The 26,729-nt window shown below is 38.9% G+C and overlaps 1 protein-coding gene across 10 annotated transcripts in view; it reads right to left on the reverse strand.

Annotated features, from left to right (window-relative positions):
* The window catches only part of IQCB1 (IQ motif containing B1), a 65,300-nt gene continuing 42,463 nt past the window's right edge, over window positions 3,893-26,729 (reverse strand). For 6 of the 10 annotated variants that reach the window (NR_134968.2, NM_001319107.2, NM_001023571.4 and 3 more), the window contains 5 exons: window positions 24,205-24,347; window positions 22,416-22,564; window positions 15,875-16,006; window positions 6,689-6,845; window positions 3,893-4,706 (listed from right to left, as the gene is read on the reverse strand). Coding sequence is in view for 9 of the 10 variants with exons in the window: in NM_001319107.2 (NP_001306036.1) it covers window positions 4,477-4,706; window positions 6,689-6,845; window positions 15,875-16,006; window positions 22,416-22,564; window positions 24,205-24,347 (811 nt within the window). In the remaining variant the exon portion in view is untranslated. Of the gene's footprint in view, window positions 4,707-6,688; window positions 6,846-15,874; window positions 16,007-22,415; window positions 22,565-24,204; window positions 24,348-26,729 lie in introns of those variants that run through there. The other 4 variants (XM_017007539.3, XM_005247911.5, XM_047449252.1 and 1 more) reach the window with 3 other exon arrangements.

Raw genomic sequence — 26,729 nt, forward strand, 5'->3', positions numbered from 1 at the left:
ATCAATACATGTGACATGATTTTCTTGAAGGCAGCAGAAAGATGGGCGTTTTTCTAAATTCAATTTCCCACTCTATGTCTTTTAAGTGGAGCATTTAATTTGTTTACATTCAGAGTTAATATTAATATGTGAGATTTTGTTTGTCATACTGTTGTTAGCTACTTGATTTGTAGTTTTGCTTATGTAGTTGCTTTGTACATGGGTCAGGATCCATGGGCTATGTGCCTATGTGTGCTCTTATGGTAGTATCATTCTTTCATTTTCATGTTTAGAACTTCCTTAAGCATCTGTTATAGGGTGGTGATAAATTCACTTAGCAATTACTTGTCTGAGAAGGATTTTATTTTTCTTTTGTTGAGTAAGACCTGAAAAGCACAGGCAACCAAAGCAAATAGAGTTTTACTTTTTTTACTCAAGATGGTGGATTAGAGGCTTTTAGGGTGCCTCAGCCACTTGGAAATAGCAAAATAGTGCATAAGGGGAGAAAGTGGTTAAGCAGCCACTCTGATGGCATTCAGCTGATGAAGTGAGTGAAGCTGAAGCTTTTTGATGAGGTGAGGCTTTTTTATTTTTTATTCTTTTTTTCTCTTGAGGGTATGACTGTAGTGTATGTTGTATATGACAGGCTTCATTTCTGGATGCTTTCAGAGGGCCAGGGCTCTGTATAGGTTCCTTGGTTGCAGAAAGATTTGTACAGTGACTTTCTCAAATGTTGCTCCATGTAGCAATGTATTTTTGTTTGGTGGTATAATTCAAGCTGCAGACGAATAGATGGTGCTTGAAGAGTAAAAGCCACCAAGAGGTTCTTACTCTGCATGCTCACCCTTGGTGGGACAGAGGGAACGGAAAAGGGTGAAAAACGTCTTTCCCCAGTGTAACTGGTCTTTGGTAGGAGTGGAGCCCCTGGAGAAGCCTGAGAAGTGCCTCTTTCAGCCCATGCTTCTGGGGCCACAATAGAAAGTGTTGCTGCCACATCTGTAGCAGTGCACCGGTGATGGGGGCAGGGTGCAAGAGATAACCCCGTCTCCAAGTCTCCAGGAGCTTTGGTGTTGCCCCCTTCAGTAGCTGGCACCGCACTTTCATTTCCTTTAATCCAAGGGAGGCTTTGGTGGGCTGCATTTTCTCCACCCTGAAGGGTGGTGCATGCCAAGAGTTGGATGTCCAGGTGAGTAGGGGTACAACTCCCTCTCTCCCCTAGGAGCATGTGGGGCACTCTCTCCCAAACTGACCAAGGGAGCATGCTAAGGTACGCAGTAATGACACACATAGATTGGTTCCAGGTCACAAAGCTATCCCTGGCTGCAAGTCATCCTACCCAGGAGAAGCCTTGGCTTCAGCAATTCTCCTCCCACTCCACTCCTGAGATGGAAGAGAACCTAATTTCAGTACCTACTGCTGGGGTGCTCCCACACTCACTGCTCAATTCTGGCTGTGGGGTTTCTTCCCCCACTCCAGAGCAAGCACAGTTCTAGCTGTGGGGGTCTTTCCCCTACTCCAGAGCAACCTCTAGCCTGAGACTAAAATGTCTGCAGTGGCTGCTGTTGCCAGGTCGCCAATGACTTTGTATGAGCCCAGATTAAAAATGGCGTCCTCCTTTCAGTCCTAGGTCTGGGAAAATGTCTGCAGCTTTTTCCAGTGTCTTTCCCTCTCTCTGTCTCTCAGCCTCTCCCCAAGCTCGCTCCTGGGCTTGGAGGAAACAGGGTGCTTTCCCTTGACCTGGGTTGCACAGATCACTAGCAGGAAGGTAAGAAACACAGGAAGATTGGGATTGGCTGCCTCTTTCATGAACTGGGGCTTCACTCACTTTATCAGCTGAATGCCATCATGGGGGCTGCTTAATCTTCTCCTCCTCAGGGTCTGGGGTGTCCTTCACTATTCTGATGAATTCCTATTTTCTTCCCAGAGTTTATTATTATTATTATTATTATTATTGTTTCTTCTGAGACGGAGTCTTGCTCTGTCGCCCAGGCTGGTGTGCAGTGGCCCAATCTCTGCTCATTGCAACCTTCGCCTACCAGGTTCAGGCAATTCTCCTGCCTCAGCCTCCCCAGTAGCTGGGACTACAGGCATGCGCTACCACGCCTGGCTAATTTTTGTATTTTTAATGGAAACAGGGTTTCACCATGTTGGCCAGGCTGGTCTCAAACTCCTGACCTCAAGTCATCTGCCTGCCTTGGCCTCCCAAAGTGCTGGGATTACAGGCGTGAGCCACCGCACCCAGCACTGAGTTTATGCACTATTTTGCTATTTCCAAATGGCTGAGGCATACTGAAAGTTTCTAATCCACCATCTTGAGTAAAAAAAGTAAAACTGACCAGGTGCGGTGGCTCACACCTGTAATCCCAGCGCTTTAGGAGGCCGAGGCGGGTGGATCACCTAAGGTCGGGAGTTCAAGACCAGTCTGACCAACACGGAGAAACCCCATCTCTACTAAAAATACAAAAAATTAGCCAGGCATGGTGGCACATGCCTGTAATCCCAGCTACTCGAGAGGCTGAGGCAGGAGAATTGCTCAAACCCGGGAGGCGGAGGTTGTGGTGAGCCAAGATCAGGCCATTGCACTCCAGCCTGGGCAACAAGAGTGAAACTGTCTCAAAAAAAAAAAGAAAAAAAAAAGTAAAACTATTTTTGCTTTGATTGCCTGTGCTTTTGAGGTCATACTCAAGAAATTTTTGCCCAGACCAATGTCCTGGAGTACTTCCTGGAATCTTGCCTGAGCCTTAAAGGTAAGAGAGATTCACTGCCCTCGCTCTAGCAGCTTAAGACTTTTAAAAGGGGAAGTGGGGACTTTGCCTATGTCACCCAGTAGCAGCCTATCACTTCATGTTTGCCTGTACCCCAAAGGTCTTCTTCAGGCCTCTTGCCTTGCTCCCAACCTTTTTTTTTTTTTTGACAGGATCTCACTCTGTTGCCCTGGCTGCAGTACAGTGGCACAATCTCAGCTCACTGCAACCTCTGCCTCCTGGACTCGAGCAATCTTCCTGCCTCAGCCTCCTGAGTAGCTGGGACTACAGGCGCACGCCACCAAATCCAGCTAATTTTTGTATTTTTAGTAGAGACAGGGTCTCACCATGTTGACCAGGCTGGCCTTGAACTCCTGGGCTCAAGCAATCCACCTGCCTCGGCCTCCCAAAGTGCTGGGATTATAGGAGTGAGGCACTGTGCCTGGCCTTAACTCTCAATCTTTCTTGTGAGCATTTGGTAGAGGCCCAACTTCTTATGTCTGTGGCTCTTAGATATTCTAAATAGACGTGCTAGCCCACACCTGGCCTTTAAGAATTTGCTAAAATTTTGTTTGATTTCTTCTTACCTAGCCACTTCTCTCTTGTGCTCTACTATAGATGAAATACTTCATTTCACAGATACAGACTCCTATCCCAGTTTACATGGTTGGCTTGAGTCCTCAGCTATCTAATGGGCTCAAGAAAAATTATTGTTCTAGATTATCTGGCATTTTCTTTGCTAAATTGGGAGCAACACTCTTACATAATTTTTCTACATTTCTTTTCCAATTATAAGTACAAATATAGGAATTTTGATTAGAATTTTACTAAAGTTAACATTAGAGATTGCGCAATATTATACAATTTGGTCTTTACATCCAGAAATACTGGTATTTTCACTCATTTTACAAAGAGCATCTTCCAGATTCTTTATGATATGGAGTCATGATTTGTTAATTGATTTTAACTTAAATTCCATATTGTTACAAACACAAATTGAAGTGGCTTCAATGTTATGGTATTAAAACATATTTAAAGTAAACAGGGAAACTGAAAAGTATTAGGTTGGAACCAAATAATCATAAAGGTACCTAGGATTGTAACAAAAATTAAACATTATATTTAGCTTTGAGATTCCTAGGAGAAAAGACAAAAAGGGAAACAGTACATTATGTAGTTCTCACAGTTTAATAGAAAGAATGCATTTTTTTGGTATGCAGTTCCTTTTAGAAATAACAAAATAGAAAATGAGTTCAACCATTGCTTTATAGAAAACAGGGAAATGTCCTTCAATTGAGCATTTCTTTTCCTCACATTAATAAAGTCTGCACACACCTCCTATGTTAACAGGAAATAGGAATTTCAGATAACAAATGTGAAAAGTTGAAATAATCCTGACAAATTTTTCAAATCAATTGTTGAAAATATTTATTTAGAAAAAAATATTTAGTTGGAAAACAGAAGAAACCAAAGAAAAACACACTTCATGTAAACAACAGAACACTATGCTAAGTTTAGTTCTACAATAAAAGCCACACAAATCTGTGTGTGGCTAACGATGAGGATACAGAGAAAAGAAAAAGAAAATTGAGAGAGAGGTAGAATATAACTCTTTGCTTACTGCAGGTCTTGTCTGGAGGAGAACCTCTGGAAAATAATAAGTTAGGATGGCCCTAGTCTACCAGCATGCCAGAGGCAGAACCAATATAATCTCCTAAAATATGAGATTTGTGTCAATTCTTAGGGTTACTCACTAAGGTGGTTTGGTTCCACCAATGAATAAATTTTCTAATTCTATACTAAGCTCATCCTTTGGAACATCAATCTCATCTCCAGATTCTTCTCCAAGCTTCTTCCACCAGGGTGCTTGTATGTGCTTCAGGGTTGTGAGATGGGCCTGCTTGGCCTTGGCTGCCACAGGCCTGGATCTACTTAGGAAGAGCTCAGGTTCTTTCCCTTCTGCCTCCTTCAGACTTGGTGCCTCTGTAGTGGACAGAAAATAAACAGATGAGCAGAAGAGTCCTATGCCAAGCAGGTAGGAACTTGGAAGCTACAGAGCTGTAACTCTGCAGGCAGAAACAGCATTCCAACTCTGAATGTACTACTTTTGAGAAAGGGTCTTGCTCTATTGCCTAAGCTGGAGTGCAGTAGCAAGATCACGGCTCACTGCAGCCTCAACCTCCTGGGCTCAAGTGATTCTCCCACCTCAGCTTCCTAAGTACCTGGGACTATGCCACCACACCCAGCTAATGTTTTTTCTTTTTTTGTAGAGATCTCACTATGCTGCCCAGGCTGGTCTCAAACTCCTGGACTCAAGCAATCCTTCTGCCTCAGCTTCCCTAAGTGTTGGGATTACAGCCATGTGTCAACATATTCAGCCCATTTCTGTTTTTTTTTGAGACAGAGTTTTGCTCTTGTTGCCCAGGCTGGAATGCCATGGCACGATCTCGGCTCACTGCAACCTCCGCCTCCTGGGTTCAAGCAATTCTCCTACCTCAGCCTCCTGAGTAGCTGGGATTACAGGCGTGCGCCACCATGCCCAGCTAATTTTGTATTTTTAGTAGAGACGGGCGTTTCACCATGTTGGTCAGGCTGGTCTCGAACTCCTGACCTCAGATGATCCACCTACCTCGGCCTCCCAAAATGTTGGGATTACAGGCGTGAGCCACCGTGCCCGGCCATTTCTGTGTTTAAAGGAATTTAAAAAGATGTAGATTTTTGTAAGATGGCTTATTTATTTATATTATTATTTTTTGAGACAAAGTCTCACTCTGTCACCTAGGCTGGAGTGCAGTAGCGCGATCTCTGCTTACTACAACCTCCGCCTCCCGGGTTCAAGCAATTCTCCTGCCTCAGCCTCCTGAGTAGCTGGGATTACAGGCACCCGCCACCATGCCCAGCTAATTTTTGTATTTTCAGTAGAGATGGGGTTTCACCATGTTGGTCATGCTGGTCTCGAACTCCTGACCTCGTGATCCGCCCACTTCGGCCTCCCAAAGTGCTGGGATTAGAGGCATGAGCCACCTCACCCAGCCAAGATGGTTTATTTAAAGAATAGAAACTTTAATAGAACCTCATCCTATAGATGAGAGGCTCAGTTTCAGCCATTTATCCAATTTAAGAATATAAAATTACCAAGTAGTGGCCATTAAATAGAAAACACTGGTCCTTTCTGTTTACATATACTAAAGAAATCCAAGATGCTGACTGAAACACAGGGGCTTCATGGATGGGATCTCTCATTAAATGGATCAGTGGTTATGATGAATTCATTTTTGTAAAGTGCTTCATTAAAAATTATAGGCTAGGCACGGTGGCTCACGCCTATAATCCCAGCACTTTGGGAGGCCGAGGTAGGCAGGTCACAAGGTCAAGAGATCGAGACCATCCTGGCCAACATGGTGAAACTCCGTCTCTACTAAAACTACAAAAATTAGCTGGGCGTGGTGGTGCGCACCTGTAGTCCCAGCTACTCGGGGAGGCTGAGGCAGGAGAATCGCTTGAACGTGGGAGGCGGAGGTTGCAGTGAGCCAAGATCACACCACTGCACTCCAGCCTGGCAACAGAGCAAGACTCCGTCTCAAAATAATAATAAAAAAAAATTTATAAAATGCTCTACAAGTGAATGGCACTGTAACTATTGTCATCATCTACTTACAAAATATGACCAAAAGCTTTTCAGATTACTTAGTAAAAGATGGCTAGTAGGGCTCAGCATCTGAAATTAATAACTTTGGGGTGACACATATGAATGATGGCAAGGCTTGGGGAAACAGGTAAGAAGGTGGTTATAAAATCCGCATCATTTGAAAACATTGTGTGCTGGTCTGATCTATGTAGAAATTTCCTGAGGTTAGGGGATGAGCTAAAGATGCTTAGTAATGGTTTCCTTCTAAAGGTTTTGGATGTCACAAACCTCGCATAGGTTGTTCCTTTTAGAGAACGAAAGTAAAATGAGCACATACTCATTAGCTGTTCAACGTTGGTGCTGATCTGTGCTATCAGAGCTTCTCTGTGCTGCTGGGCTCGCTCTTCTAGGGCCCTGCCCATAAAGTAGTGTTGCAGTCGTTCTTGAGCTTGGGCATGGAGCTCCCTACTGACCACATCTGACATTGGAGAGCCCTGGAAACACAGGACAGAAAAACCTGTCACAGAGAGGACATAGGTATCAAAGTACCCAACCACTTAGCAGAGGTTTTAGACTGCTTAGCTGTCTCTCATTTTATCAATTGAATCTTATGATTGATGTCTATCTTGTACTCTTATGCAAGTATTAATTAGTCTCTTAAAAGTTTTAGATAAAAATAATGGTGGAGAAGTTTTTTGTCTTTCTTTTTTGTATGTGCCTATACTTTACTTTCTCAGACACTGTGGAATTATGGGAGAAGAGATAAGCTTGAGAGATCACAGTGAAAAATTACAAATGGTTTCGTAAAGACACTGGCCTGGGGCCGGGTGTGGTGGCTCACGCCTGTAATCCCAGCACTCTGGGAGGCCAAGGTGGGTGGATCACCTGAGGTCAGGAGTTCAAGACCAGCCTGGCCAACACGGTGAAAACCCATCTCTACAAAAATTAGCCAGGCATGATGGTGGGTGCCTGTAATCCCAGCTACTCGGGAGGCTGAGGCGGGAGAATTACTTGAACCTGGGAGGCAGAGTTTGCAATGAGCCGAGATTGCGCCATTGCTCTCCAGCCTAGGCAACAGAGCAAGACTCTGCCTTAAAAAAAAAAAAAAAAAAAAAAAGACACTGGCCTATAACAGGTGTAACAACGCCAATCCCTTTGTTTCTTTGTTTTACTTCTTATCCCATTCTCACTCCCAAACTTATCCAAGCCATATGTTGTAACTGCTTCTGGATCCACAGAACAAGGGACAAAATCATCCAAAGGACCATGTTCTTTTGGCTAGTCAGCTAATTTAAGGGGAACTTAACTGATTAGTTTGGGCAAGGATGAAATAATCTTAACTTTGGAGGTGATAAAGAACCTGACACCACAGCTTTCTCAAATATTCCTGTTCCTATCCTGGATATGACCCTGTTCCACTAAAACCTTACTTCTCAGCCACAGGATCTTAAACAGCTGCACTAGAGTATGGCTAAAGAAGCACTTTAAAAAAAGAAAAACAGGAGCATGCATCAGAACTACATATAGTGTATTAGAAAAAGAGAGATCAAAGACCTAAACATAAGAGCTAAAACTGTAAAACTCCTAGAAGAAAACACAGGAAAAGCATCATGACATTGGTTTTGGTGATGATTTCTTCATACGACACCAAAGCACAGGAAAAAAAAAACAACAACAAAAACCAGACAAAATGAACTTCATCAAAATTAAAAACCTTGGTGCACCAAAGATCACTATCAAGAAAGTTAACTGGCAGTCCACAGAATGGCATAAAATGTTTGCAAATCATACATCTAAGGGATTAATCTCCATAATATATAAAGAACTCCCAAAACTCTACAAAAAACAACCTGATTAAAAAATGAACAAAATATAACCCTGTGGAAAAAAAAATAAACAAATGACTTGAACAGACATTTCTGCAAAAAAGATAAAGAAACGGCCAATAAACACATGAAAAGATGCTCAAAATCACTAATTAGGAAAGTGCAAGTTCAAACCATAAGATACAACTTCATATCTATTAGCTGCTATCAAAAACAATGACTACAACAAAAATAACTAATGTTGACAAGGATGTACAGAAACTGGAACCCTGTGTGTGACTGGTAGAAATGTAAAATGGTACAGCCACTATGGAAAACAGTATGGCAGTTCCTCAAAAAAATTTTTAAAAAGAATTAGCACACAATCTAGCATTTCCATTTCGGATACTCACCCAAAAGAATTGAAAGCAAGTACACACACAGATATTTGTACACACATGGTCACAGTAGCATTATTCACAATAGCCAAAGGGTGGACGGAACCCAAGTGTTCCTTGGATAAACAAAATGTAGTATATATAATGGAATATTATTCAGCCTTTAAAAGTAGAAAATTCCGACATATGCTAAAACATGAACCTTGAAGACATTATACTAACTGAAACAATGAAGTATGATTCTACTCATGAGGTACTTAGAGTAGGCAAATTCATGGAGACAGAAAGTAGAATGGTGGTTGCCAGAAGCTGGGTAGTGAGGGAATGGTGAGTTAGTGTTTAAAGGATGCAGAGTTTCCATTCTGCAAGATGAAAAAAGTTCTGAAGATGGGATGGTGGTGAAGCTTGCACAAACAATATGAATGTACTTAATGCTACCAAACTACATTTAAACATAGTTAAAATGGTAATTTTTATATTTTATCTATTTTACCACCCTGAAAATAAATAAATTTTAAAAATACAGATACATGAGGCCACACAAAACTTACTGTATCAGAATTTCTTGGGGTGTGTGGGGCTTGGGTATGTAATTTTTATAAAGGTGATTAAATTTGTAAATGATTAAAACTGTTAAAAGCAATATAGTCCTCTCTACAGAGCTTAGGAACTGATTATCTGTTTGTTGGAGAGGAGGCATGCTTCTGTCTGTCTTCATTCTACCTCTGCTCACAGGAAAAATCTTTCAGTTGTGGTTCTGCCCCTCTCTCCAACTCGGTTCTGGTGTTTGGCTAAGGGAGGAGTTGCTAATATGATTGATCAGCACTTAAGAGATTCACTGGCCATATACACCATGGAATACTATGCAGCCATAAAAAAGGATGAGTTTATGTCCTTTGCAGAGACATGGATGAAGCTGGAAACCATCATTCTCAGCAAACTAATACAAGAACAGAAAACCAAACACTGCATGTTCTCAACCATAAGTGGAAGTTGAACAATGAGAACACGTGGACGCAGGGAGGGGAACATCACACACTGGGGCCTATCGTGGGGTAGGGAACTAAGGGAGGGATAGCATTAGGAGAAAAACCTAATGTAGATGACAGGTTGATGGGTCCCAAACCACCCATGGCACATGTATACCTATGTAACAAACCTGCATGTTCTGCACATGTATCCCAGAACTTAAAGTATAATAATAATTAAAAAGAAGAGATTCATTGGCCATGTTTTATTGGTGGCCAGGCTGATTATTTTTAAAATCTCAGGACCCCTAAATTTTTTTTTAAGCATTTAGGTTAAAACAACCTTTTAAAAAATATAGCTTTATTGACGTAAAAATAACATACACTAAACAACAAATATTGAAAGGGTACAATTTGCTAAGCTTTGACATACACATACCTAGTTCATCACTACGTTTCCTTGTTTCCTTTTGTAAACCCTTATCCTCATCCTACCCATCCACCAACTACTTATCCCAAGCAACTACTTATCTATTTAATGTTACTATAGATTGGTTTATATTTTTAGAATTTACATAAAGGGAATCATAAAGAATGTATTCTACTCTGTCTGGCTTCTTTCATTTAGCATAATTATTTTGAGATTCATCCACGTTTTTTTTTCTTTTTCTTTAAAAATTTTTTTTGAAGACAGGGTCTCACTCTCTCACCCAGGATAGAGTGCAGTGGTGCCATCACTGCTCACTGCAGCCTCGAACTCCTGGGCTCAAGCGATCCACCTGCCTTGGCCTCTCAAAGTGCTGGAATTATGGGCGTGAGTCACCATGCCCGGCCAGAGATTCATCCATGTTGTTGAGAGTATCAATTTATTCCTTTATACATGCTGAATGGTACTCCATGGTTCTAGTTTTTGGCCATGAGCATTCATGTACAAGTGTCTATATGGACATATATTTCTTTTTCTCTGGGGTAAATATCTAGGAGTAGAATGGCTGAATCATATGATAGATGTATGTTTAATTTTTAAAGAAACTGTTGAACTGTCTTCCAAAGTAGTTGTACTCTTTTACATTCCCCTAAGTGGTGACTCTGCCACATGCTTGCTAACCTTTGGCATGTTCCATTTTTAAAATTCCAACAGGTATGAAGTATCTTACTGTCGGTTATTTTTTGAAAAATTTTAAATTTTTATTAAAAAAATTAGAGAGAGGGTCTCAATATGTTACCCAGGCTGGTCTCAAACTGTTGGGCTGAAGCAATCCTCCCACCTTGGCCTCCCAAAGTGTTAGGATTACAGGTATGAGCCACTGTGCTGGGCCCTTATTGTGGTTTTAATGTGCATTTTCCTTAGTGATTAATGATGCATTTTTCATGTGTTTATTTGTCATCTATCTTTTGGTGAAGTATCTGTTCAAAGCTTTTGTCCATTTAAAAAACAAAACAACTAGTTCATATGTTTTCTTACTGTTTAGTTTTGAGAGTTCTTTCTATATTATGGATATAGGACCTTTATCAAATATATGCTTGGCAATGATATTCTCCCAATCTGTGCCTTGTTTCTTTAATTCTGTTAATGGTGTCTTATGAAGAGAAGTTTTAAATTTCAATAAAGCCAATATATCAAATTTTCCTTTTTGAATCATGCTTCTGGTATTGTATTCAAGAAAGGTCACAATATTTCTCCATTGTTTCCTTTTAGAAGTTTTATAGTTTTAGGTTTTGCATTTAGGCCTATGATCTACTTTGAGTTACATTTTGCATATGAAGTGAAGTATGGCTTCAAGTTCAATTGTTTGACATGTGAATAGCCAATTGCTCCAGTTTTTCTGCATTAACTGTATATCTCTGTCAATAATTAGTTTGCTATACATGTGCTGTTAGGTGATTCTGGCACTGTGCACATGTCATTGAGTGTACCTACAGAAACTTAAATGGTATAGACTACTACATATGTAGGCTATGTGGTATACCCTATTGCTCTTAGGCTACAAATCTGTACAGCATGTTATTGTATTGAATACAGTAAGCAATTTTAATGCAATGGTAAGTTTTTGTATATGTAAACATATATAAATGTAGAAAATGTCCAGTAAAAATATACCATTACAATATTATGTGACCACTGTTGTATATATGGTCCAACACTGACTGAAAATTCATTATGTGACACATGGCTGTAATTACCATTTCCAGTGCTCTTAATTTCTTTATGTAGAGCCAGATTTCTCTCTGGTATCTTTTCCTGGCATCATTTTAAACAGAAATGTTAAGTCTTTTACACCTTAAAGAACTTAACATTTCTGATTTACATTCACACCAACAGTGTGTAAGTGTTCCCTTTTCTCCACATCCTTGCTAACATCTGTTGTTTTTGACTTTGTAGTAATAGCCATTTTAACTGGTATAATATGATTATTTATTATGATTTTAAGTTACATTTCTCTGATGATTAGTGATATTGAGCATTTTTCATTGTTTGTTGACCACTTGTATATACGTCTGTTCATGTTTCTTGCCCACTTTTTTTTTTTTTTTGAGACAGGGTCTCACTCGGCCACACAGGCTGGAGTGCAGTAGCATGAACATGCCTCACTGCAGCCTCAACCTCCTGAGCTCAAGTGATCGCCCCACCTCAGTCTCCCAAGTAGCTGGGACCACAGACAGGCATCAACATGCCTGGCTAATTTTTAAATTTTTTGTAGAGACCAGGTCTCACCATGTTGCCTAAGCTGGTCTCGAATTCCTGGGCTCAAGCAATCCTCCTGGCCTTGGCATTCCAAAGTGCTAAGATTACAGGCATGAGCCACAGCATCTGGCTTTGCCCACTTTTTAATGGGGTTGTCTTTTTCTTCTTGAGTTGAGTTCCTTGTAGATTCTAGATATTAGCCCTTTGTTAGATGTATAGCTTGCAACTATTTTTTCCCATTCTATAGGCTGTTTACTGTTGACTGTTTATTTTGCTGGGCAGGAGCTTGCAATATAGGCATGTAAATGTGCATTTTTACTCCCTCAATCTACACAAATAAAAAGAATTTAACATTTCTGCAATGTTAAATCCTTTACAACTTTAAGGATTTAACATTTTTGGTAGTGCAAGTGTACTGGTGATCAAGTCTTTCAGCTTTTGTATGTCTGAAAAAGTCTTTTTTTTTTTAACAATATTTTTTTGCCAGGTACAGAATTCTAGGTTGACAACTTTTTTTCCTTTCAGTACTTTAAAGCAAGATATCTTTCGCCGGGGGTGGTGGCTCATGCCTATAATCCCAGCACTTTGGGAGGCTGAGATGGGTGGATCACCTGGGGTCAGGAGTTCGAGACCAGCCTGGTAAACATGGTGAAACCCCATCTCTACCAAAAGTACAAAAATTAGCTGAGCATGATGGCAGGCGCCTGTAATCCTAGCTACCTGGGAGGCTGAGGCAGGAGAATCACTTGAACCCGGGAGGCGGCAGTTGCAGAGATTGCGCCACTGCACTCCAGCCTGGGTGACAACAGCGAAACTCTGTCTCAAAAAAAAAAAAAAAAAGGTATCTTCTTGCTTGCACTGTTCCTACTGAGCAATGTAATCTTTGTCTTTACGTAACATTTAAAAATTTTTTTACACACCAACATGGCACATGTATACATATGTAACAAACATGCACCTTGTGCACATGTACCCTAGAACTTAAAGTATAATAAAAAGTATATATATAAAAATTTTTTTTTGTTTTTAAGATTTTCACTGTATCACTGGTTTGACAATTTTGATTATGATATTCCTTGGCACAGTTTTTTCCATGTACCTTAACTGGTTTGGGTATGGGCTTATCATTTTTAGTTTGGAAAGTTTTCAGCCATTATTTTTCTCTACATCTCCTTCAGGGATTCCAAGTTTTCATTTACTGGGCCACTTACAGTCCCACAGCTCAGTAATGGTCTTTTCAAATATTTTTCTCTTTTTTCCCCTCTCTGTGACTCATTTTGTACAGTATCTACTAGTATGGCTTCACCTATATTAATCTTCCATCCAGCAAAGTCTAATCTGCTATTATTTTGATCAAGTATATTTTTCACACCATACTTTGAAGTTTTTATCTCTAGGAGTTTGATTCAGGTATTTTTTTTTACATTTTTCATCTTTCTACTTGACTTTTTGAACATATAAAATACAGTTATAATGACTGTTTTAATGCCCTTCTCTGCCAATTTTAACATCTATGTAATTTCTGGGTTGGTTTGACTGAATATCCTCCTCATTATGGGTCCTGTTTTCCTACTTCCATGCATGCCTTTAATATTTGATTAGCTGCTAGACATTGTGACTTTTACCTTGTTGGGTGCTGGATATTTTGATATTTCTTAAAATTTTGAGTCTTTTTTTGGGATGCTGTTAAATTACATGAAAACATTTTAATCTTTTTTTGACTCTTGATTTTATAATTTGTTTGGCAGAATGGAGCCGTCTAGGCTAATCATAATCTACTATTAAGGGAAGGTCTTCCTGAGTACTCTTCACAATACCCTGTGAATTATGAGTTTCTCCAGCATATTTGATGGGAACAGATACTATTCCTGGACCTATGTGAGTTCCAGACACACTTCCGTCTTACCTTTTCAGATGACTCGATAATTTGGCTTTGGATAATTTCCTCACATGTACATGCTGATTAGTATTCTGGAGAATACTCAAGGGGTAGATTCTGTAGATATCTGGGGTTCTCTCTCTTTGCAGCTCTCTTTACTCAGGTACTCTGTTCTATGAAGTCTAGTTCCCTTGGTGTCACCTGACTCTCAGTGCCATCTCCTTAACTCAAGGATTCTAAAGAGCCCTTCTCTGTTCTCTTCCTTGAGCTATGGCCTAGAAACTCTTTCAAGACAGTAAGCTGGGGTAATTATAGGGCTTGCTTCGTTCCCTCTCAGAGATTATTGTTCTTTGTTGTCTGATGTCCAGGGTCTTGAAAACGATTTCATGCATTTTATCTGCTTGTTTCTTTTTCTGGTTGTTTCAGGCAGGAAGTAAATCTAGTCCCTGTTACTCCATCTTGGCCAGAAACTAATGTCAGAACTTTTTCCATTGTCTACCTCTTTATGGTAATCACAGAGGGCCTGATATAGAAGGGTAGTCTTTTCCTCCTCTCTTTCTCCACAGACTCCATTAGGTTTTAGGTCCCTAAATCCAGATTAGCAGAAGCAGAAAGTAAGAGGGCTTATTTACACTTCCTAGACTAAGCTTTGCTATCCAATTCAGGTTTTACCATTGCTGTGTTCCAGTGGTTACCAGATACATGCTCAGCTACTAATATATTTGTACTTCATTTCCATTTGTACAGTAGTTTTTGTTTGTTTGTTACAAAAAGTCCTTTCATTTTGGATGCTCTGGAGGAATGAAAGGGTGAATGATAGGACTCCCTAAATATCACATCAAGCCTCTAACATCAGTTATCCAGAACCTTCAAATTTTAGAAGTCTGTGTGTGTATCTGTGTGTGTGTATGTGTGTGTGTGTGTGTGTGAGAGAGAGAGAGAGAATGAACTCAGGCACAAACACCACCACCACAATCACAACAAAACTCGTGAAAAGTACCAAGATACACTATGAGTGCTTGGTTCAAATGAGGGAATAATTCTGATAGATTGAAATGTATAAACTGCTAACTTTCTCCATAAAATTACATAAGTGTGAAAGCACGGGAGAAGCAGTAAGAGAAAAGAAAGTAGAGGTAATCAGCAAAGGTGCAGGTGATTAAAATTAATGACAGGAGTGGTGAGTTATTCCCAAGGCAGAAAGGGAAATGACCTTTGAAGACACATAGGAGTAGATGGTCAAGAATTCAGGTGGGAGAAGAGAATAACAGGTGACCTGCCATCCTGTGGTCATAGAAAGTCAAAGATATGGACATTTCTATTGGGATAAAGGTGCTAGCAGTATTATTGTGGTAAGATCATAAGAGGCAAATAGTCAAATGCTATATCTTATTGGCTTCTGGAGGTACATTAGTAGTCCAACAAATGTAAGAATGAATAATCATTGATTGACAGTTACATATACTCTTTCTGGAAGGTTCAAAATAGTCCAAGTTTTACAGTACTATTGCAAAAGAAGCAATGAACAAGTCTTATTGACATAGTATGGGAAAAAACTGATTTAAAGCAGAGTCTCCTTCACTACTGACTATACCTCTATGGCTATGTAACTAGAAAAAGATATACCATTACTTCTATGGTAAAGCCAATGCATTACCTTATACCAGCAATAAATGTACACACACACACACACACACACACACACACAATATATGTGTGTGTGTGTACAGTTATCAATATCATGCATTGGAATAATGTAATACTGATATGGTACAGAAGCTTCATACCAAATGTCTTCTGACATAGTCATCCACTCGTTTCTTCAGTTCAACTCGGCGTGCATCAGTGAGTTCTTGGAGTCCTCGCCAAGGAGCAAATAGTTTCTTTTTCTTACGGCACTTCGCTAGGAATTTAAGCGCCTGGAAGAAAAAAAATTGAAGGTTTGTGATTTTTCTCCCCTAACTAATAGAACTATTTTCTCACTACAACATATGGTAGTGATCACATTGCAATAATGATTAACTCTGAGTGTGTATAAGGAGGGGAATGGGACTGTGACAAAATGCAGGAGAACAGTGACTTTTAAAATATACAGTCTTCTGTAGTGCTTTTTACAAGGATATAGTCACGTATTATTTGTGCAGTAAGCAATGAAGAGGAAAAAAAAGCAATAGATTCTAGTCTCAATTCTAGTCCCTTATAAACTATGATTCTGGGCAAGGCACTTGATCTCTAGAGGACAGGTTCTATGTCTATAGAAAAAAGGGTTCTTAATTCTACACAGCCTAGATGATTGTAAACACCAAGGAGACAGTATATTTCTGTCTGAATTCCTTCTCATGTCCTTCAGAATGGACTCTGGTAAAAAGAAATTTTGTAATAGGCATTATATGGGACAAATTTGCAATTATTCTTTCCAATTGTTTTCACTCTGCTCATGTCTTCGTAGTTTTTATTTTCATCAAAGTTACATGTTCACATTGTTTAAAGCAGGGGTCAGCAAATCATGGCCCACAGGCCAAATCCAGCCTGCTGCCTGTTTTCATAGGGCTTGAGAGCTAAAAATGTGTGTGTGATTTTGTTTTTGTTTTTTTTGTTTTGTTTTGTTTTTCATTTTACATTGTTAATTTAAAGGGAAAAGAATATTTAGTGGCACGTAAAATTATAAAAGAATATTTAGTGGCATGTAAAATTATATGAGATTCAAAATCTAATGTTTACAAATAACATTTTTTTTTTTTTGAGATGGAGTCTCGCTCTGTCACCAGGCTGGAGTGCAGTGGCACAATCCCAGCTCACTGCAACCTCCACCCCGCCAGGTTCAAGCAATTCCCCTGCCTCAGCCCCCTGAGTAGCTGGGATTACAGGCATGCACCACCACGCCCAGCTAATTTTTGTATTTTTTAGTAGAGATGGGATTTCACCATGTTAGCCAGGCTGTGATCTCTTGACCTTGTGATCTGCCCGCCTCGGCCTCCCAAAGAGCTGGGATTACAGACGTGAGCCATCGCGTCCCACCTCTACAAATAACATTTTATTGGAAGACAGCCATGCTCATCGGCTGCTTTTGTGCTATAACTGAATACATGTGACACACTACATGACCTGCAAAGCCTAAAATATTTTATTATATAGCCCTTCCCTGAAAAGTTTGCTGATGTAACTCTATTGTTTAATGTGTCAGTTTTGTAAGAATTACTAGAATGCGATTGTTTAATTTGTCAGTTTCATAAGAATTACTAGAATTCTTACTAGAGTTACCCACTTACCCTGTCCCCTGATTCAAGGGCAACAATTTAATTCAGGTTATTCTTTTGATATTTAGCTCCATCTATTTTTCTGTGATTTTTTTTTCAGATATAGGTATCATCTATTGATTTTCTTGTATGAAAGGTATGAATTTAGCTATCTTTCACTGTTTCTACTCCCCATCCATCCTATATTATTACATCATAATTTTAGTTAAATTAATGTTCAATGTTTACAAAATTATGACCACATAAAGGCTATTCACTTTTGAACAATATAGTACACTATAATTACTTTTCCTTCCTTGCACATTTTTATTTTCTCTGGAATTATTAATTCTCTTTTCTCCCATGCTTTGTTTTCCATACTACCGATTATATTTTACAAACTCTGCCCTAATTTTCTACACATTAAAATACAGCAGCCATTCTATCAAATTCATTTTCTTGGACACATTTTCTCGAGCTTCCTGACCTGCTGTAATTTGGATTGACTGCTCTCTATACCTTGGGCATAGCTGTCATCCTGTGGTCTCCATTCACCATCATCTCGGTGACTACTTTTCATCTTTCCCTTGTGTTTCTTGGATTCCATGTTGCCTTCCTTCTCAGGTTATTCCCTCTTATCTAAAAATGTCTTTGGTCTGTCCTTATCTTTAATTAATAATTTGGTTGGGTATAGAATTCTAGTTGGAAATCATTTTCCTTCAAATATGTGACAATCTTACTTCAATACTTTTTAGCTTCCAATGTTCCTGTCAAGAAGTCCTTTTGTTCCTAGTATATCTTACAGTATTATGAAACAAATGTAGAAGTGTTTCTGTCACTGTATTGGACACTTAATTGGTCCCCTTAATCTAAAATTCATGACATTCACTTCTTGGAAATCTTAAGTTATTTGATTTTCCATCTTCTGTTTTTTCTTGTTCTTGATTTCAAATGTTTGGCTGTTTGACCTCCTAGACTGGTAGTCTTTTCTATCCATCTTTTTTTTTTTTAATTAAAGATTCTACCTTTTTTTCTTTTTCTAATGATATTTCATATGTTGACCAGGCTGGCCTAGAACTCCTGAGCTAATGCCATCCTGCTGCCTTAGCCTTCTGAGTAGCTGGGATTACAGGTGTGTGCCACTGGCAAAATCTTTTTTCCTTGCTTTCTGTGAGATTTCTTTAACTTTTCCCCCACAGTCCTTTTATTAGTCTTTCAGTTTTCCCTGTCAAATTTTATTCTGTGTGCTCCATTTTATACGGTATCTTGGTTTTGTTTCATATATTACCTTTCCTTATCTCTCTGAGGATATTAATAACAGATTAAAAAAATTTTTTCCTTATACCTGCAATGTTTGTATTCTATCAAATAGTTTTATTCCATTTGTTTTGTCTTTGGCTTTCCTTAGATATTCAGTGATACTTATCTTTCAGCTGATATTTAAGAGTGGGCACTAAGAAGCGGTTTAGAAAATTTCCCTAGTACTCTTACTTTTTGGTATTTTTTCTAAGACAGGGTCTCACTCTGTCACCCTGGCTGGAGTGCAGTGGCTTGATTATGGCTCACTGCAGCCTCAACCTCCTGGGCTCAAGTGATCTTCCCACTTCAGCCTCCCGAGTAGCCGGGACTACAGGTATGTGCCACCAAGCCCAGCTAATTTTTTATAGAGAAAGAGTCTTATTATGTGTCCTAAGCTGGTCTCAAACTCCTGAGCTCAAGTGATCCTCCCGCCTCAGCCTCCCAAAGTGCTGGGATTTACAAGCATGAGTCACCGTGCCCGGCCTTGTTTTCAGTATGGTACTTGAGTTTTCAACTGTGCTTGCATCCTTCTGTTGAGACTCTCTTCTTTCTTTCTATTCTCCCCTTTCCTTGATTTTTCTCTTTTAGCAAATTTCCCCAATTTTTAGCTCCTGGAGAAACAATGCCTCTGTTTTTGCATCAAGTAAGAGAGAAACAGAAGGTGGATAACTGTTCTGGCCTTTCTTTTCCTGCCAAGGACACTAATAACCAGTTCTTCCTGAGGGACACACTCATTGAAAGGATATTCCTACTCCTTTATATTACTTTTTTTTTTTTTTGAGGCAGGGTCTTATTCCTATTACCCAGGCTAGAGTGCAGTGGTGTGATCACAGCTCACTGCAGCCTCAACTTCCCAGGCTCAGGTGATTTTCCCCCACTTCAGTTTTCAGAGTAGCTGGGACTACCAGTACATGCTACCACGCCTGGCTAATTTTTGTATTTTTAGTAGAGATGAGGTTTTGCGACATTGCCCAGGCTGGTATATTACTTTCAATGAGGCTAATGAATTATTTCCCATTTTTTTCTTAGCAAGATCAGTTGCAGTGCCAACAGAAATGTAAGGTGAGTCATATATGTAATTTTAAATTTTCTAGTAGTCACATTAAGAAAATAAAAAATGGGCGAAACAATATTTACTCAGTTATATAAAACATACAACAATATACACAAAATATTAGTATTTCATCATGTAATCAATATAAAAAAGTATTACTGAGATACTTTACACTTCTTTTTCATGCTACATTTTCAAAATCTGGTGGGTATTTTACACTTACAACACATTTCAATTTGGACTAGCTACATGTCAAGTTCTCCATAGCCAGCTACGTATGCTTAACGATTATTTTATTGAACAGTGCAGATCTCTAGTGTGTCTTAGAAAAGGATACTTTTAGGCTAGGCGCAGTGGCTCACATCTGTAATTCCAGCACTTTGGGAGGGTGAGGTGGGAGGATCACTTGAGCTCAGGAGTTGGAGACCACCCTGGAGAACACAGTGAGACTTAGTCTCTACTGAAAAAAAAAAAAAATTAGCTGGGCCTGGTGGTGCAAGCCTGTAGTCCCAGCTACTGTGGAGGCTGAGGTGGGAGGATCTCTTGAGCCTCGCAGATAAAGGCTCCAGTGGGGTATGATTGCACCACTGCACTCCAGCCTGGGAGACAGAGAGAGATTCTGTCTCAAAAGAAAAGAAAAGAAAAGAAAAGAAAAGAAAAGAAAAGAAAAGGATGCTTTAAAAATATGGCAAAATGTACCCTTTATTGACTATTGCCTTGTTTTAATTTTCTCTATTTTTCTATTTATTTTCTCAGTGTACTTTCCCATTTTTCTTTCTCTTTTCCTTCTTTGAAAGTAATTCTTGGCCAGGCATGGTGGTTCATGCCTATAATCTCAGCACTTAGGGAGGCTGAGGCAGGAGGATCACTTTAGCCCAGGAGTTCAAGGCTGTGATGAACTATGAACACACCACTGTACTCCAGCCTGGGTGACAGAGTGAGACCATGTCTCTTAAAAAAAAAAAAAAGTAATCCTCTTATTTCCTTTTCCATTTTGGCTAACTTTGCTTTGACTTCATCTTATTTTTATTAATGAGATGCAAAGACTATAAACATGACCTTGACCCATCCCTTTTTGCTCTTAAACAGAGACTCATTCCTTTTCTTAGCTAGAGGAGATATGAGGCAAATGTGACTAATCTTCCTTTCGTGCCAATGGAAAGTATAAAAGCCAAAACAACTTTGCCTTCGTAGCCTTCAGATATGTTCCTATGATGACCCCTACTTTTTTCTCTAAGAAATGGTAGGCAAACCAGGATATTTCACTTTACAGTACAGGATACTTTTACAAAGTATTGGGGTCATCTAAATCAGGCAAGGTAGTAAGTCAACCTAATAAGGACCCAGCTATTTCTATGACAGGGAAGACTTTAAAAAGGAGGTATTTATGAGGTAAAAGTATTAGAAAGAAGCCAAAGCTTCCTCCAAAGGAAGTGTCTCCAACCCTAATATCAACTGGTTAACCCCTTAGATGGCTTTGTTTAGCAGAAAGTAAAAATCAGGAGTACGTGTGATACAGTGATGGTGCAGGATTGTTTGTTGCAGACACAATCTGAGATCCCCAGAAGAGCCTGAAGAAGGAGTAGGAGACAGGCATCTCTTCCTGTTTCTCTAGTATTTATTCTACAATGTTTTTTGGATGATTAAAAAAAAAAAACTTTGTAAAAAGTTAATCACAGAGACTGTTCAAAATCTGTCACAGTAGAAAACTGAAATTGACCTAAAAATTCAGTAAGGATTGTTAAGCTAAATGCTATAGGACCTGAAATCCTAATATGAAAGTTAACCATGTATAAGAGAACAACGGGATGTTAGGAAAACTGGTCATTAAATTTAAAAAACCACCTCGTACTATGCTTTTCCAAGGCAACAAAATAGTACTATGCTCTAGAGAGATCACAGAAAGATTGCTATTTAAGAATAAGAGGCCGGGAGCGGTGGCTCACGCCTGTAATCCCAGCACTTTCGGAGGCCGAGGTGGGCAGATCACGAGGTCTAGAGATCGAGACCATCCTGGCCAATATGGTGAAACCCCGTCTCTATTAAAAATACAAACATTAGATGGGTGTGGTGGTGCATGCCTGTAGTCCCAGCTACTCGGGAGGCTGAGGCAGGAGAATTGCTTGAACCTGGGAGGCGGAGGTTGTAGTGAGCCAAGATCGTGCCATTGCACTTCAGCCTTGCAACAGAGCAAGAATCCGTCTCAAAAAAAAAAAAAAAATACAATTCTACAATTAAAATGTTATAATGATCTAAATATACCTAATATCTCATCTGTGCATTAAAAAAATCAAATATCACATGCTGCACTTGCACAGAACTTTGTAATTTACAAAATACATTCCCATAAATTAGGGTATCTGATCCACATAACAACTGAGTGAAAAGGGTAAGGGTAAACATCTATTCATACATCAAGCACATGTGATGAGCTGACAACAATAAGACTTAGCTCCTTATTCTTGAAGAACTCACAGCCCAAGTAAGAAGGGAAATAATTAACAAAACAACATTGCAGTATAGTAAATGATGTACAAGGTTCTAAGGCAGTACTAAGGACTGAGTGTCTAAATCAGCTCGGCCAGAGGTAAGGGGTTTTTCTTTTACAAAAGAAAAAACTAAGGCTCAAGAAAACTAAGTGTCTTGACCAAGGCTTTACAACAGGTAATTAGCAAAGTCAGTTTTGAACTCATGTTTTTGCCTCTTGATTCAGAGCTCTTTTCACTACATTAGACTCACTGCTCTTTGAAGTGTGACAGCTGCTTTATACTCTATGAGAGACTGCCTCTGTTGGTGAAAATTTTTCCTTTCCCTGTACCCTCTCCAATGTTTCTGGATAATCAGTGCTGATTTCTCTTCCATTTCCCGATAGTGTTTCTCCACCTGACCTAAAAAGATGATAGACACTATTACAACATACTCACTGCCATGCTTTCTTAAGTTCTGGAATCAGGACAATGATAATAATAATCTTGCATTCTTTTTATTTTTGTCAATATTGTTCACTAATTTTCCCAATTCTACTATTTTACCATGGTTCTAAGATTTTAGAAACAAAGCTTTCCCAGATTATGCAGCTTCTTCACAGAAAGAACTCATATAATATTTTTGTGGTAGAGTAATAAGAAAATGGCTGAAAATCCAATACAAAGAACACTAAAAAAAAAAAAAAAAATTCCTAAGTACATGATTAAGAAGTCATTCAGTACCACCAGAGGGAAAGGGCAAAATGTGTGTATGTGTTCTCTACTCTACATGCTTCCAAATTTCTCTTAAGTCACTCAGTCAGTTATACAGATGACTTTCTTTTTGCTTTCTTGGAGTTGCTCAGCATACAGCCCAGGGTTCACAGTATATATGTGACAGAATAAGGCAGTAGAATTGTTAATAAAAAGGGGGGCGTATTTGGGGAAGTATAAGAAACTGATATAATTTAATGATCAACTGGATACGGAGGTAAAAGAGGGAAAGGACTCTAGGATGTCTCAAATGGGAAACTGAGTAAGTTGTTGGTGCCATTACCTGAGATGGGGAATAAAGGAAAAGGAAATCTGAGGGGTAAGATAATGACTTTGGTGTTTGGGATGCCTGTGGATATCCAGGTAAAGCTGGATCCAATAGGCAGTTGGCTACAGAGGTGTGTTATTCAATAGAGTAGAAACTATCCACAAGTGGCTACTTGGGTTAAAATAAAGTAAAATTAAAATTCAGGTCCTTCAGTGCACTAGCCATATTTCAAATACTCAATAGCCATCTCTAGCCACTGGCTACCCTACTGGATGGTACAGATATACAACCTTTCATTTTTGTAAAAATTTATCTTGGGCAATTTTGCTCTAAGAGCTTAGGAGAGTAGGTGAAGATGGAGACCAGATTTGAGACTGCTCAGCACTCAGCTGAGAGTTGAGCTGCAGTTATGGATGGATACCCCAGGAAGAGAAAAATGACAGGAATAAGGTGAGGATGGAACCCTAGAAAACATCTATATTTAATGGAGATGAAGTGAAATAAAGGGCTAGTGAAGGACCCTGGATTGAATAACAAGAAGACAGGTAAAATAATTTGAAGATAATATTGAAACCACTAAGACCTCTCAGACCACATCTTCTTATTAATTTCAGCTTAGTCTGTCAAAGGCGGCAAGAAGATGTCACAACATTTGTACTAAGGAATGAGTTAAACTCTGATGGCAGAATGTAATAATATTCCAACTCCTTGTTTCAGTTCAAGAAGTATCTTTGTGTCTCTAACAGCTATCTTTATGCATACATTTTTATGTTTCACTAAATTATCTGAAGGATAAGAAAAAAAACTGGTGGGGAGATTGTTCATCGTCAACTAATAGGTCTGAATTGAAAAAACAGTAACCGTTTTTGAACTCAGAAGATCTAATAAAGTTTATCTGAAAAACAGAGAAAAAGGACAAAAGTCCAAATTTAAAAAAAAATCATCACGTAGCTAGAAAAGTTGGTTTGTTAAAAGATAACCTAAATATTCTTATATTGATAAAGTTGATACTGCCACTCACCTGGATGAACTATTTCGAGCATACTCAGCTGCAATTCTCGGGAAAGTCTCATGGCTCTCTGTCTTTGAAGTTGCAATTGTAATTTGAGGTCCTCTTCTTCCTTCTGCCTATTTATCTCCAGCAACATCTTTGATCGTTTGGATCTGTGATGGAAACAGTGTGTTATACATAATTTTCATAAATCATATGAAAAAATGCATAACCTCACTAGTAATCAAATAAATGTAAACAGAAAAAATTTTAAGATAATTTCTAGTGTTAATAAGGTATGATAAAATAGCTTGTCATCTGCTGCTGTTGTGCAATCTTTCTGTAGAAATATTTGAATATATGCATTAAAAGTCTGGAAAAATATTTGAAATATATAAATAAAAAGCCTTAAAAGTGATGACCAATTAATTCTATTACAAATAATTTTCTTAAGGAAATAATCAGATATATATGTAAAAATTTATGTTCAAAAATGTTCTCCACAGTATTACAACAGTAACAAGTTGAAAACAAACTTTGTCTCACAACAGCGAGTTGGATAAACAGATACTGGTTCATTCACCTGATGGGATGGGATTCTATGAACTATGAAAACATAAAATGTTCGAAGAATATTTAGTGACATGAGAATATACTGATGATCTAATGTCAGGTAAAAGGAAAATCAGGATATAGAAGAATGACATCAAAATTGTGTCAAAAAACTTACATTTACTTACACAAAAAAAAAATAAAAAACATTAAAATTTCAAGTGATTTTTACTGCATGATGTAATTACAGTTGATCTTTATTTTCTTCTTATGCCTATTTCTCAATTATTGACAACTGAACATTACTTTCATAACTGGTTATGAAAATTTTCATGTGACCACAAACATTTTATATAATTATAATTTCTGTATTATCTGCTTTTATTCACCAAAATTTCTCCTTAGCCATTCCCATCTAGTTTTTGTTGCTTCCAATATCACTATGTAAGGAGACTACAAGTGTCAGTTTACAGTAAATATACTCAAAATGCTTTCAGACACCCACAGAAAAAGAAAACGAGGATAAGAAGAAAGGCAGAATAAACTACTTAGTTTACCGCTATAGACTTAATTTGACATGTGTCTCCCTCAAGAACATTTTCTCTTAGATCTTTTTTTTAAACTGTATTCTTAGAATTAAACTGTAAACAAATGTGGTACCTTGGCTATAGCTTTGTACTCTTAATAGTCAGACTTCATTATAGTATAGTTAGGATTATTATGATTTTTCAACTGAATTTTCAACTCAAAATAGTTTATTTTGATTTTGATAAAATTTTGTGTGCCTGTGGTTGTTTCTCATAAATTCTTCCATCAATTACAACTTAAATTTTCTCTAGCTTTCTACTTAGGGCAGAGTAGAGAATTTATTTGTTTTGAAACTTCTTTCTTATCCCTATTATCAAGGGTAGAGAAGACCTCAAAAGTGTATGTGTGTCAAAAGATTCCAGAGAAGATCTAGGGCTAGTTGAATAGTTCTAAGTGTCTCTTGCTCTTTGTGAAAGCTGGAAATGAAGTAGGTAAGGGCCTCTCCCTTCCCAAAGAATAGCTGATAGCAACTTGCCTGTTCTACAGAACTCCATCACCTCAAAACTTCTGGGTTATACAGCATGCAGATAATAATGTTTTATCTCTTACCCATTCATAGAGGGTAAAAGAGAGCAGGCCCTAAACAGAGCCTCCTTTTAAACTGATTTTTAAAAAACTACCTCTGTGGCCGGGCGCGGTGGTTCACGCCTGTAATCCCAGCACTTTGGGAGGCCAAGGTGGGTGGATCACCTGAGGTCAGGAGTTTGAGACCAGCCTGGCCAACATAGCGAAACCCCATTTCTACTAAAAATACAAAAATTAGCTGGGTGTGATGGTGTGCACTTGTAGTCCCAGCTACTTGGGAGGCTGAGGCAGGAGCTTGAACCTGGGAGGTGGAGGTTGCAGTGAGCCAAGATCGTGCCACTGCACTCTAGCCTGAGTGACAGAGTGAGACTCCGCCTCAAAACAACAACAACGACAAAAAACTACCTCTGTTTCTAACTTCTAATTGGCTATAGATTATAATGTCTAATACTGCATTATCAATATTTTAAATACCATTTTACACTATTAGTATGAAAAACATAGTAATCATTAAAATTGCATCTGCTAGAATATTTAATCTGTCAGAAAACTGGGTTTGGGAAACAATTTAGGCATGTAGGCTATCAAATATGGCAAAAATGAAAAGACTATGGAGCATGAAGGTGGAAGTAAAGTACAAACCAGAAAGACAGGACAAAAGTGAGATTTGGGCCGGGCGCGGTGGCTCACGCTTGTAATCCCAGCACTTTGGGAGGCCGAGGCGGGTGGATCACGAGGTCAGGAGATCGAGACCATCCTGGCTAACACGGTGAAACCCCGTCTCTACTAAAAAATAACAAAAAAATTAGCCGGGCGTGATGGCGGGCGCCTGTAGTCCCAGCTACTCGGGAGGCTGAGGCAGGAGAATGGTGTGAACCCGGGAGGCGGAG

The sequence above is a fragment of the Homo sapiens genome, chromosome 3, assembly GCF_000001405.40.
Source record: "Homo sapiens chromosome 3, GRCh38.p14 Primary Assembly".
NCBI lineage: Eukaryota > Metazoa > Chordata > Mammalia > Primates > Hominidae > Homo > Homo sapiens.